The following is a 14283-nucleotide window of genomic DNA, read 5'->3' on the forward strand; positions in this document are numbered from 1 at the left end:
TCTGACAGGTAATCCCATCTCTCCAGATTAGATGAGCTGGAAGCAACTTCTTGGCCCTGACATGTTGTGCAGAGGCACACAGCCAACCTTTGAAAGAACAAATGGGGGAAATTTGGAAATAGAGAAAGAGTGATGTCTCATGACTGTTACTATGATTTAGATTAACACATCTTTGGCCTGGGCCCCGGAAGTTGGATTTTCTTACAAGGTGGACATGTATCAACACAGAGCCTGCAGAACACGTAACTGTACAAGGCATACAGTGACCAGGAAGGGCAAAGACTCGCTAGTAGGCAACACTTTATCCTAGGGCACATAAGTATCAGAGAAAGAGGACAGAGCAGTCCTGGAGTCTTTCAAGTTGGGTCAGATCACCATAGATTTTGAACAAAATTAGTATCTTGGAGTTTATGATGACTGGGTTATGAATGCACCTATTAGGAAAATAGCCTATAATTTTTAGAAACCAGAAGCAATTGACGATTATGGATGTTTTAGTATTTTATTATGAGATATTACCTATTGGAATTTTTTGTTTGGGGAATTTTAGCAAGATATTAAATCAAGAATAGATAAACATCCAGATTATTGGAAAACCTTGGTGATGTAATTTCAGGGTCACTTTGCTACGTTAACTCATGGAGCATCATCACAGTACTACCAGAAGCAGGGAGCTGGGCAAGGTCCTGCTTGTTTACTTGCCTAAGCATAATGGCTGAATTTTGGAAATGATGAACAAGTAAGCTTGAAATCAATCCCCAGTGACCTTCGAAAACATATCACTAAATTAATATTCACCAGTAGATATCACGCATGAAAGAACAGACACATCATTTCTGTTTCTGATGGGGTTGCAATGACAAACTTATAGATGGGAACAAAGAGCTAGCCCTTCACCTCAGAATTGCTGCAAAAACATCAAAACATTCTCATTTGATAGCTGTCAAAGACCAAGCTAAATGAAGATATAGACAGGTGGTTTCAAAGTTTGTTAAATATCTTTGCTAAATAATATTAGCAATGGCCCTTGTCAACTGGAAGAGATGCCCTAACCCACCACCTAACTGCCTGCCAAAAATGGGGAACCAACAGTGTAAACAGATTAAAAGTGCAGGTTCTGGAATGTGATGACCTGGATTTTGAACCACATGCTTTCTGCTTTGGCCTTGAAATGTTATTTTACTCCTTCCTCCTGCAGTGCCCTCTGCTGACAGAGCTGAGCATTGTGTCAGGAGAATATCAACAGGGACCAGCTCCAGCATTGCAAGACAGGCAAAGAAGAGTGTGTTTGGAGCCAAAGTGACACCTGCCACAAGCTGGGCACTGCTGTCTATAGGACCTCATACTCCACTGTAAGGACTTTTACAAGAGCAAGAGGGCTTCGAGCAGAAGAATGACACAACCTTATTCATACTTTCAGCAGGATGATTCTGGTTCCCGAGCTGAGAATGGACCAGAGGAAGGCAAGGTGGAAGCTGGTGAGGAGGCTGTTGTGTTAATATTGCAATAAGAATTTAGCAGGCTGTTTAGCATTTATGTAATAAAGATATTCCTATGGGACTGTTACGATATCTTACCTAACCATCACTGCTAACTCTAAGTCTAAATAAGAAATAAGTATTTTTTAAAGAACATTAAAAAAATCAATCACCACAAAATACATGCCGACTTTCATAGTAGGTGATTATGATTATATTGCAATATAAACTCAAAGTAAACCAAATCAAACAGACATTTGGTGTTTTGATTTTTTTGGCAAAGTGATTTCTTAACATCTCTATTTTGAAAATTATTGAATCTTTTTGATTAGTAATACATTCACATCGTTTTCAAAATAAAACAAAGATATGCAAAAGTATTCAGTAAAAAGTCTTTCTTCTGCCTTTATCCACTATGTGTCCTGTTCCCATAAAACTTTTGTTTGCCAGTGGTTTGGATAAAGAAAATGTGGTACAGGCCGGGTGTGGTGGCTCATGCCTGTAATCCCAGCACTTTGGGAGGCTAAGGCAGGCAGATCACTTAAGGTCAGGAGTTTGAGACCAGCCTGGCCGACATGGTGAAACCCCAACTCTTCTGAAAACACAAAAATTAGCTGGACATGGTGGCAGATGCCTGTAATCCCAGCTACTAGGAAGGCTGAGGCACAAGAATCAATTGAACCTGGGATGCAGAGATTGCGGTGAGCCAAGATTGAGCCACTACACTCCAGTCTGGGCGATAGAGCAAGACTCAATCTCAAGAAAAAAAAAAAAGAAAGAAAATATGGTACATGCACACCATGGAATGCTATGCAGCCATAAAAAAGAATGAGATCATGTACTTTGCAGTATCATGGAAGCAGTGGAGGCCATATCCTAAGCAAATTAATGCAGAAACAGAAAACCAAATATAGCATATCCTCACTTATATGTGGGAGCTAAACGTGGGGTTAATAAATACTGGCAATTCCAAAAGAGGGGATGAAAGGAGGGGAAGGGTTGGAAAACTACCTATTGAGTACTATGTTCACTACTTGGGTGACTGAATCATGAGTCCAAATCTCAGAATCAAACAATATGCCCTTGTAACAAACCTGCACATGTACCCCCTGAATCTAAATTTAAAAATAAAAACTTTTAATTTTTTTTGTATCTCTTTCCAGAGTTTTTAAGCATAAGTGTTAGCAAACACAAATATATATTATTATCTCCCCTTTCGGTTTTACGCAAAAGGAACATACTATGCACATACTTTTCTTCACCTTGCTTCTTCACAAAATTTTGTATCTGGATATATTTCCATATCATAGGTATAGAGAGCCTCTTCATTAAAAAAAACTGTATGTACCATACTGTATTTAAATAAACCTTGCTAATGGAAATTTTAGAGGTTTCCAATCTTTTATTACTACCAACAATGCTGCCATGAGTTACCTTGTAGATATATGTCAGTTTTTTGCACATGTGCAAGTATATCTGTAGGATAGTTACAGAAGTGAATTACTGGGTCAAAGGGCAATATGCATTTGTAATTTTGTTTTATTTTTATTTTGAGACGGAGTCCTGCTCTGTCACTCAGACTGCAGTGCTGTGGCGTGATCTGGGCTCGCTGCAAGCTCCGCCTCCTGGGTTCACGCCATTGTCCTGCCTCAGCCTCCCAAGTAGCTGGGACTACAGGTGCCCGCCACCACACCCAGCTAATTTTTTGTGTATTTTTAGTAGAGACGGGGTTTCACCGTGTTAGCCAGGATGGTCTCAATCTCCTGACCTCGCGATCTGCCCACCTCACCTCCCAAAGTGCTGGGATTACAGGCGTGAGCCACTGTGCCCAGCCACATTTGTAATTTTGATAGCTGTTGCTAAATAGACCTTCACTGGGGCTGTAGCAATTTAGACTCTCCCCACAATGCATGAGAGTGGTTTCCCCACAGCTTCTACCACGAGAAAGATTAGCAACTTTTGGATTTTTGCCAGTTTGATTTATGAAAAATTACCTCGCAGTATAGTTTTACTTTGTATTTCTCTGATAATAAGTACAGTGAGCCTCTTTTCTTATGTTCAACAGACAAGTACTTTTCCTTTTTTTTTTTTGAATTGTCTATTCATATCCTGTGCATGTCTCTACTGGGTCATGGATCTTGACTCTGTGTTTTTAACACAATTGAGAAAAGTTAAGCACTATATATTATTTTGGGTCTAAAAAATTCCATTGCATTTTTAATGTTGTAAAACTTATACTAAGTCTGCCGTTTTAATACTAGTAAATATGTCTTACTATACTACAAAATACTCTTTGTTCAGAGGCTGAAATTAGCAATTTCAAACATGGCTCATATGTATGCGTGTGTGCATATAATGATGTCCTTCTTATAAAGTCACATGAGGCCATAAAACTTTACTCCAAAAAGGGAAACTGAACTCAAATGAGGTCTCTGGAATATAGCTATTCTGAGGCTTAAAAATAAGGTCCCAGATTAGCCTAAGCATCGCTCACTTGAAGGGGATAGCCTTTTTAATTATTTTAAGCCCATTTGTTGAACAGTTTCCAGTCTAAATCATTAATATCAAACCAGATTCCTGCGTTGGCTATTTGATTAGTGTACAGTGCATTATATGTGTATTAAACTCCACTTTATTAATGATTTTTAAAAGCACACTAGACATGATGAAATAGAATGTCAGAGCTGGAAAGACCTCTGTCATCTTGTCTAAACCCCTTGCTTTACATAAGCTATTAATATGGGTTTTTGGTTTTTACTCCTCTCTCCTTATTTTTCTTCAACTTTTAAAATGTTTTTAATACTTGTCATCCTAACATCTGGTTATAAGTACCCTTAACTTCCATGTTGTATAGATAAAGTCTTTCTTGCCTAATTCTTGGCTACTCTAAATTTTAGTGGTCACTAGAAAAAGTTCTCTATGGCAGAGGTCTATTTTTTTAAGTGGATAAGCTTCAGTTTCCCCATGGGTCAATTAAGAAATTTTTATTAGAAGTCCTCTAAAGTTGCTTCAGCTCCAACCATCTATAGGCCTATGAGAGAATAGGATGGATTCTTCCACTTTCCCTAAGGAAAGGGCTGCCCTGCTTTGGGGCAAAGTTAATATTTCTGTGTAGCTTTGTTACATTCTATTTCCTGAGGTCATAACAGTCTGGGTTCCAATTACATTCCTAGAATAATGAGCCTGTTACAGTAAATGAACATTTTCAAGTGCAACTGAATAACCACCTATTGAGTGTGCTGGCACCTAATAATTTTCCCCTTGGCAGAGGAAAGAAGTGGGCATTTGGGTAATGGGAGGTAGTTTGTGAAACGTGATAGAGAAAAGGATGATGAGAATCTGAAGCAGCTCTCCACACCTTGCAGGGCCTCTGCTTAATCAAGGCAGCTGGGAGATGAAGGCGATGGACCCTTTCTGCAAAGGTGGAGGCCCCTGACTCTGCACCACCTCAGGGTTGGCACTAACCTGACCCCAGAAGTCATCTAATCCAAGTTTGTCTCCTTTCTCCTTTTTAAAGTTCTGATTGATATCAAATGACAAACCAGTATCCCGACTGTGTTAGATGAGAGCTATCTCAAAGAAAGGGGCTGGGTCAAGAAGCCTGTGTTGGGAGAGTAAGCCTTAGCAAGAGATATTTTTTAAAGTGTTAAAACCATGATTTTCAACAAAACGTGCTCTATGTAACAATATTTATTGCCCTTTGGCTTTGTGGTATTTTCATATGGTTTTTATCAAGGGAACTTTGTGACTGGACATACACAAGGCAAGCATTCTGTTCAAACAGCAAAAAGAACATTGGTCCGTGACCATTAGCGTAGCAGGTCCTGATGAAGGAATTCCCCTCAATGAGAAATGAGGCAGGCCCCCAACCAAGGACAGAAAGGAGGAACAGTGTCAGGGCATTGTCATCCACAAATAGCTATGTATATTTTTTTCTTACCAAACAATTCCTAATCTTTCAGACTTCCACATCATATTGGAAAGAACAGTATGTCTTTTCTGGCTCCACAGTTTTCTCTGTGAATTTGCACAAGCTCCCTCTCTGTTCTGTATCAAGGTGGACTACCCGAGCTCAGTCAAGTAGTAGCTCCATTTGCAAAAAGTGTGCTCAAAACCAGATGCAGGACTGTTGCTAGGGCAGATTCATGAATCCTCAGGTACATGGTATCCATTTGGTGGATGTATTTTGTATTCCTATCAGAAAAAAAATGGATCAGGCACCATTTGTATTCACATGAAAAAGACAACAATATGCATTCATATTTTTGCCCCAGAACCATGTTAGCTTTCCTGCTCTCTGTATTAGTCCAAGGAAATATGGACCATTGGACATCCTACAAAACATTATGTTGATTTTTTTAACTTGATGACATCACACTGATTGGCCAGGACAAGCAAGAGATGGCTAGTATATTGGTAAGATACGTATGTTTCAAAGGGTAGAGGATCAGCCACATAAAAATTCAGGGGCCTGCCATTTGAGGAAAGTTTTTCAGTGGTCAGGAGGGTTGCCCAGATATCCCCTCCAAAGTAACAGATACACTGCTACATCCTGCATCCCTACGGCAAAGGAAGTACATTGCCAGTTTAACCTCTTGGAGTTCTTCAGGCAACACTGCACACCAAGGATAGGCTCTGGCCCTATACCAGATGGCATGGAAGGCTTCCAGCTTTAAAAATGGGGCCTGAAGCAAATCCAGACCTGCCATGGGGGCCGTATGAGCTGGCACAGATCCTATGGTATCAGAGGTATCAGTGGAACCAGATGCTGTGTGAATTTGTGCTGAACCCCAGCAGATCAATCAGCACCTGCCTCTGGGGTGCTGGAGCAGGGCCATGCAATTGCATCCGCAGTAGGGCACTGCACACCTCGTGAGAGACAGCTCTTGGCATGTTACCAGGCTCTGGGGGAGATGGAACGCACTTGACCATAAGGCAGCTGCCCACTACAGGCTCATTCATCAGACCGATTAAGTCATAATGTTGGCCCAGCAGCCATCTATCATTGGATGGAGATGGTACATCTGGATCAAGTCTGAGCAGGACCAGGGGAACAGCAAGCTGCATGAGCAGGTAGAACAGACCCGCATGTCACCAACCGTAGCTCATCCCTGTGGCCAGTGGGATCCTCTATGACCAGCTGTAGGAGAAATTTAGTTAGAGACCGTTAAACTTGGAAAGCAGGTGCACACCAGAAATAGACAGTGGCTGCGTTGCAGTCACATTCAGGAGTGGCCCTGGAAACAGTGGGCAGAATTGTGTGGTACACCTGGTCATCCACTTTATGTGGAAGGAGAAGTGGCCTGAAGTGGAATATATAGTTTTCTGGGTTGTAAGAAATGGTTTCACCAGCTGGTCAAGGGCATGGGAGGAGAAGGAAGACAAGATCAAAGACAAGGAGGTCAAAGACAAGGGCATCTGAAGTCAAGGTGTGCAGCTGGGGAGGGGACATGAGGAATTCAGCTTTTGTATTGCTTGTTGGTGTCCACCATAAACCATACACTGCATAAGGAAGAAAACAAACGGCTCAACCAGTTCAGGCTGACGAAGCTTTGTCCCTGAAGCTAGTACAATGAGCATGCAACTAGAGCAGCCATGGTGGGTGCAAATGCTTGAATTTTTACTTACCAGGCTAGTCTAGCTACTGCTGCCCCTGGCTGGCCAACGTGCGAGCAGTAGAAAGTTATGCTGAGCCCCTAACATGATACTATGTTTCAAGGAAACCAATCGGCCTCTTGTTGCACGATTTCCATCCTGGAAGAGCCAGCAAGTTTTCTTAACAGAAGTAGATGCCTCTTCAGATAGGGTTTGCCTTTCCTGTCTCTAGGGCCTCAGCCAGCACCACTATCCAGGGGCTCACAGAATGCCTGATGCACAGGTGTGGAACCCCACACAGTGCAGCATTCAACCAGGGGGCCCACCTCAGAGCAAAGGAGCTGCAGATGGGATCCCCTGGTTTTATCACTTCTATGTGCTCCAGAAACCGCTGGCCTCGGAAAGTATAGAATAGCCTTCTAAAGGCAAAACTGAAGCGTCAGCTCACTGAGGGGATAGGGTACCATCCTTCGGGACACAGCATAGGGATTAAACCAGCAACCCTTGTATCGCGCATGCTGTTTCCCCAGCAGGGGAGGAAGGGCTGCTGCTACACAGCGGAGGCAGCAGGAATATGTGCAGCGCTCAGGCCATCCACCCAGGGACCCAGTTGTAACCAGGAATGGCAACGTGCAGCAACTCTAACCTGAAAAGGACACGATAACCAATGGCTCAGATCCCTTAGAAACAAAGGTTTGAGTCACACCACCGGGCCACCAAGACCACCATGGTAGCCATAAATGAAGGGAATTTAGAATGGATAGAGGAGAAGGGCTGATGAGTATCAACGGTGGCAAGCAGCAACCCCCTGCAGTGGTAGGGGTGTGGTTCACCCATGTATTAGTTGGGCTCCTCTGGAGAAACAGAACCAATAGGAGAGAGAGAGAGAGAGAAACAGAGAGAGAGATTTATTACAAGGAATTGACTCACGGGATTATGGAGGCTGAGAAGTCCCATGATGTGCTGCCTATAAACTGGAGACTCAGGAAAGCTGATGGCATAGTTCAGAAGAGATGTCCCTGCTTAAGCAGTGAGACAGGAGCAAAAGGAGTGAATTCCTCCTTTCTCTGCTTTTTGCTGTATTCAGGGCCTCAAAGGATTGGAGAATGCCCACCCACACTGGGGAGGGCCATCTACTGAGTCCACTGATTCAAATGCTAATCTAATTTGCTAATCTCACAGACACAACCAGAGGCAGTGTTTAATATGGGCACCCCGTGACCCAGTCGAGTTGACCCGTAAAATTAACCATCACACCCCAATAACCTCCCTCTTCTAAGTCTTGTCTCAGGAATAGCCCCCTGGATCATGGAGTAGCCACTCCCCAGACATGCATGGACATGTGGATTCACATCCCTCACAGTGACATATCTCTTAGAGGTCTCCTTCAAGAAAACCTGCTGCAGAAAGCACAGTTGACTAACAGCCTCAAGCCACAGTCCCTTTGGATCCACCATGGTGGTCATATTGAGCCTGTGTTTCCCCCAAGCTACATCCAGCCATTGACTGAACATGGCAGAACAACTAAATCTGGCTCATTCCTGCCAGAAATGGGACCCTAACCATGGACAACCTTTACTCAAAGACTCCTCATCAGCTTTCCCAAGACTTTCTCTGATTTTCAGAGGACCTGAGCTGGTGCAGGTTATAGGTATCTGCAAAGACAGGAAAGTAAGTTAAAGATGAAGTCTGTGTTCAGCTTTGAAAGAAAGGGGTGTTATGCTATCTTATATTTTACATGTGTAGTCACCAATTTACTGAGGTTTTTAGTTTGTGGAGATACAGTCATGCATTGTGGTTAAGAGCATGGCTTCTGGAGTTGCACCAACCCTAGCTTAGTCACTCATGAGCTCTTTGGCTTTGGACGATTTGTTTAATTCCTCTGTGCTTGGTTTCTTTATATGAAAACTGGGTGTATCAGCCAAGGCTCAGTTGGGGGATAGAAATTACACAAGGTATTGATTTGCATTTCCTTGATGATTCGTGATGTTGAGCGTGTTATACTTCAACATAAATTCCCACTGGTTCACAATGTAGAGCACAATATACTTGGCCATTTGTATGTCTTCTTTGGAAAAATGTCTATTCAGGTCCTTTGCCCATTTTTAAATTGGGTTATTTGTGTTTGCATTTTTACTATTGAGTCATATGTGTTCCTTATACATTTTAAATGTAACTCCCCATTGGATTAATGGTTTGCAATATTTTCTCTTACTCTGTAGTTTGCCTATTCATTTTGTTGATTGTTTCCTTTGCCATACAGAAGCTTTCTAGTTTGAGGTAGTTCCACTTGTTTATTCTTGCTTTTCCTGCCTGTGCTTTTGGTGTCATATTCAAGAAATCATTGCCAAGAGCAATGCTAAGGAGATTTTCCCCTATACTTTCCTCTAGGAATTTTATGATCTCAGGTCTTACATTTAAGTCTTTAATTCACTTTAAGTTTATTTTTGTGTATGGTTTAAGATAAGGTCCAATTTTATTCCTTTGCATGTGATTAACCAGTTTTTCAGCACCATTTATTGAGAAGATTCTCCTTTCCACATTGGTACCTTTGTTGAAGATTAGCTATACATGTAGGGGTTTATTTCAGGTTCTCTATTCAGTTCCATTGGTTTATGTGTCTGTTTTTATGCAACAGTAGCAAACTGTTTTGATTACTATAGCTTTGTAATGTAATTTGAAATCAGGAAGTGAGATGCCTCCAGCTTGGTTCTTCTTGCTCAAGATTGCTTTAGCTATTTGGGGTCCTTTGTGGTTCTATATGCATTTTAGAATTTTTTTTTCTATTTCTTTGAGAAATGTCATTGAGATTTTGATAGAGCTTGCACTGAATCTGCAGATCACATTGGGTAGTACAGGTATTTTAACAGTATTAATTCTTCTAATTCATGAATGTGTAATATCTCTCCATTTATTTGTGTCTTCTTTAATCAAAACCACAGTGAGGTATTACCTCACACCTGTTGGAAAGGCCGTTATCAAAAAGTCAAAAGATACAGGTGTGATGGCTCACACCTGTAATCCTAGTATTTTGGGAGGCTAAGGTGGGTGGATCACTTGAGCTCTGCAGTTCAAGACCAGCCTGGGCAACATGGCGAAACCCCATCTCTTAAAAAAAAAAGCACAAAAAGTGAGGTGGGAGGATCACCTGAGCCTGGGGAGGTCAGGTCTGCAGTAAGCCATGATCGTGCCACCCAATGTACTACCCAATGTGATCTACAGATTCAGTGCAAGCTCTATCAAAATCTCAATGACATTTCTCAAAGAAATAGAAAAAATAATTCCAAAATGCATATAGAACCACAGAGGACTCCAAATAGCTAAAGCAATCTTAAGCAAGAAGAACAAAGCTGGAGGCATCACACTTCCTGATTTCAAATTACATTACAAAGCATTCCAGCTTGGGCAACAGAGTGGGACCCTGTCTCAAAAAACCAAAAAATTAAAAATAGAGCTATTATATACACAATGGAATATTATCTAGTCTTAAGAAAGAAGGAAATCTTGACATTTGCAACAACATGGATGAACCTGGAAGACATTGTGCTTAGCAAAATGAGCCAGGCACAGAACATTAAGTGCTGCGTTGTCTTACTTATATGTAGAATCTAAAAAAGTTGAACTCATGGAAACAAAGAGTAGAATGGTGGTTCCAGGGACTGATGGCTGGGGCAAATTGGAGAGGTTGCTCAAAGCGTATAAACTTTCCATTGTAAGATAATAAGTGTTGGAGACCTAATGTACAGCATGATGACTATAGTTAACAATGATATATTTTATATTTGAAATTTGCTAAGAGAGTAGATCTTCAGTATTCTCACTACACACACACACACACACACACACACACACACACGTAACCATGTGAAGTGGTGAATGTGTTAATTAGATTGATTGTGGCAGCCATTTCACAATGTATATGCATATCAAAACATTATGTTGTACACCTCAAATATATACACTTTTTATTTGACAATCATGCTTCAATAGATGAGAAAAAAGAGATAGTGTGCAGGGTACTTTCTGGCTTGAACAACACAGTCCTGGAGGTAAGAAGTCCAAGGTAAAGGTGCAGGCAGGGTTGGTTCCTTCTGAGGCTTGTGAGGGACAATTTCTTCCATGTTCTCTCCTAACTCCTGGTGGTTTACTGGTAATCTTTGATGTTCCTTGGCTGCTCTCTCCTTCAGCCTCACAGGGCAGCTCCTCCTGTGTGCACATCTCTGTGCTCAAATCTCTTCTCTTTACAAAGACATCAGTCATATTGGATTAGGGTCCACCCTGATGACCTCATCTTAGCTTCCTAATTACATCTTCTATGACCCTATTTTCAAATTACATCACATTCAGAGGCACTATGATGTTAGATTTCAACATACGAGTGTGGCATGGGACCGAATTCCACCTCTAAGAGGTCAAATAGAGTCAAAACAGACCTCTAAGTAGGATGTGGAACTTGGCTGTTGCTAATACCTCTGAGATCACAGGAGGGGTCCCTTTGGCCTGCAACCCAGACCCCTGGGGAGGGGACACATGTGCTGTTGCTGATGACTCAGAGGGGATGCAATGACACTGATTCTGCAAATACTGAAAAAACTTCAAATGTGATTCAGCTGTTGCTACAAGAAGAAACTGCAGCTTCCAGATTGAAGAAGTCTTGTTGGGATAAAACTCACAATTGCAGGCAAACAGGAAGCCAACAGGAAGGAGCAAATCCCTTCTTCTTCCTCCTCTTCCGGTCTCTCCCCAGTCATACAGTGTGCAAAGCCTAACAGGGAGTGAGCTGGAGTGCAGACGGTGGTTTGCAGAGCCCTTGCTGCCGCATGACAGAGAGGCTAGAAGGAGGAGGTTGGGGAAGGGGCCAGGATTGCAGTCTACCCCTCTGTCCACTCACCTTCCAGACACACCCTCTTCTATTTGGAATTTCATACTATGACAAAACCAACTCTGTGTTTTCACCTGATGAGAGGCAACTATCCTTGGAACAAGCAAAGATGTTTCTACCCTCTCCACAAAATGAGGAAAAGCAGCACTCATGTCCAGCTCTGGGAGCAGGCTGGGAAAGGCACACCCTCTGTCTCTGTCTACGCTAATCAGTTCTCAGATTCAGCAACAATCCCACCTGCATATATTGTTACCTAAAACTAGACTGTAAAGTTACCTTACATCAAAACTTATATACATTAATAATATTTCTATAAATACATAAAAGGTAAATACAGCTGCTACCATTCCTGTATCTGTAACTGGTCATGGGATGATAGTTGGTATGATTTTAAACATCTTTATTGATGTATAATTCACGTCATAAAACTTGACTGTTTAAATGTACAATTCAGTGGTTTTTCATATAATCACCCAGTCATGCAACCACCACCATGAACACTCTAATCATCCCAAAAAGAAACCCCGTACCCACTAGCGTCGCTTCCCAGCCTACCCTCCCCCGAGTCCCTGGCAACCGCTTATCTATTTTCTGTCTCTGGAAAGACATGTGCCTACTCTGGACACTTCATAGTTCATATAAATGAAATCATATGATGTGTGACTAACTTCTTTCACTTAGTGCAGTATTTCCAAAGTTCTTGAGCTTTCTTCATAGCTGGCGTTATAATAACTTCATAAATGGCACAGCGGGTAATAATAATACTCATTCCATAGGGTTGTTATGCACATTAAACAAGTTATTACATGTAAATCTCTTAGAACAATGCCTGACGCAGTTAGTGCTTAATAAATTAGCCTATTATTGGTTGTTTCACGTGGTATAGAAATATTTATGGAGATAACAATAAAGGTGTTATGTTCTGGCTTTACTGACAAATCAGCAGATGCTTTTTAAAAAACAGGTACGTGTTTAAAAGACGAAGTGGTGAGCACCAAGATGCTTGATGCGAGTTGAGATTTGTCAAGTTACCGAGTTTCATGATGTATTGTCTTGTACGGGGTAAGGTCAACATACCCCTACTCTACTCACTCTATAGGAAGAAACGTAGGGTAACACTTCAAGATATTGTATTCTAATATTCCACTCCAAAGCACGGGTCCCCCAGATGTGTTCCTTGTATTGAAACTAAAATGTGTATTATATCTGTGTTTTTCTCATCTTGTTTTTTTTTTCTCCCCCAAATTAGGTTGCTGCAGTCTGAGGCTTTGTAATTACTAATATCAGAGGGATGAGGAGGGTGCTCGGGTACTCTCTTTGGAAAGGGAATCAGGCTAGAAATCACCTAAGTCTCACTGCTACTCTATCTGTAACTCAGAGTCATTTGGGAGGATTCCTTGTTTCCTATGCAAGAGTTGCCGGCACCTGCAGGAGCACCTAGTGGACTCATGTGAGTGGCCTGCTGGCCTCTGAGGAGGAGACAAGCTGTGGTCTCGAGGGAACGAGCTGTGGTCTTGAAGGTCGAGAGGGACTTGACCTGCTCAGGTAAGAGTGAGGTAAGCTCAGGACTGAAGCAAAGCTGAGACCCTCTGGAGCTGGCGGTCCCCATGCTCTTGGAGAGTGAGTGAGCTTTGGCCGGGCAGGTGTGCAGACTGCCCAGGCCCCCACTGTGATGATGGCTCTGTGAGGAGCAGAAAGAGCTCCTCTCTCACCTGCCCTCTGAGCACCTGTCTGCTGAGTCCAGACTCTGTGGGGCACCCAGAAAGAGCCTGGGAGGGGACGTCACCAGTTTCCCTTAGCTTCCCTTATCTCAGCACTTAAGACTTAAGGGCAGTTCTCCTGGCCTATAGTTTACAAGATTTCTTTAATGAGTATTTTTTATATTAACAGCATTGCCAAAAATGCCTCAACCTCTTCTCTTTAATGTAATATTTATATTTAGTAAAGGCAGTCTAGTTTGTTTTTATAATACATTTGTGTATTTAAAATAATTAAATTGGGGAGTTTTAATTCAACGAGTACAGAATTTCATTGTGGGAAGGTGTAAGAGGCTTGGAGATGGACGGCAGTGATGGTTGTACAATGTGAAGGTACTTAATGCCACTGAACTGCTCACTTAAAAATGACTAAGTTGCTAAATTTCATGTTATGGATATTTTATCATAATGGTTAAAAGAAAAGATTTAAATAAGGGCATTGAGTCAGACCTAGACATAAATGTTTGCTCCATTAATTAAATTGCTTATACTTTCTTTTTTTTTTTGAGATGGAGTCTAGCTCTGTTGCCCAGGTTGGAGTGCAGTGGCGCGATCTCGGCTCGCTGCCACC

This window comes from Homo sapiens, chromosome 6 (genome assembly GCF_000001405.40).
Source record: "Homo sapiens chromosome 6, GRCh38.p14 Primary Assembly".
In the NCBI taxonomy this organism is placed as follows: Eukaryota; Metazoa; Chordata; class Mammalia; order Primates; family Hominidae; genus Homo; species Homo sapiens.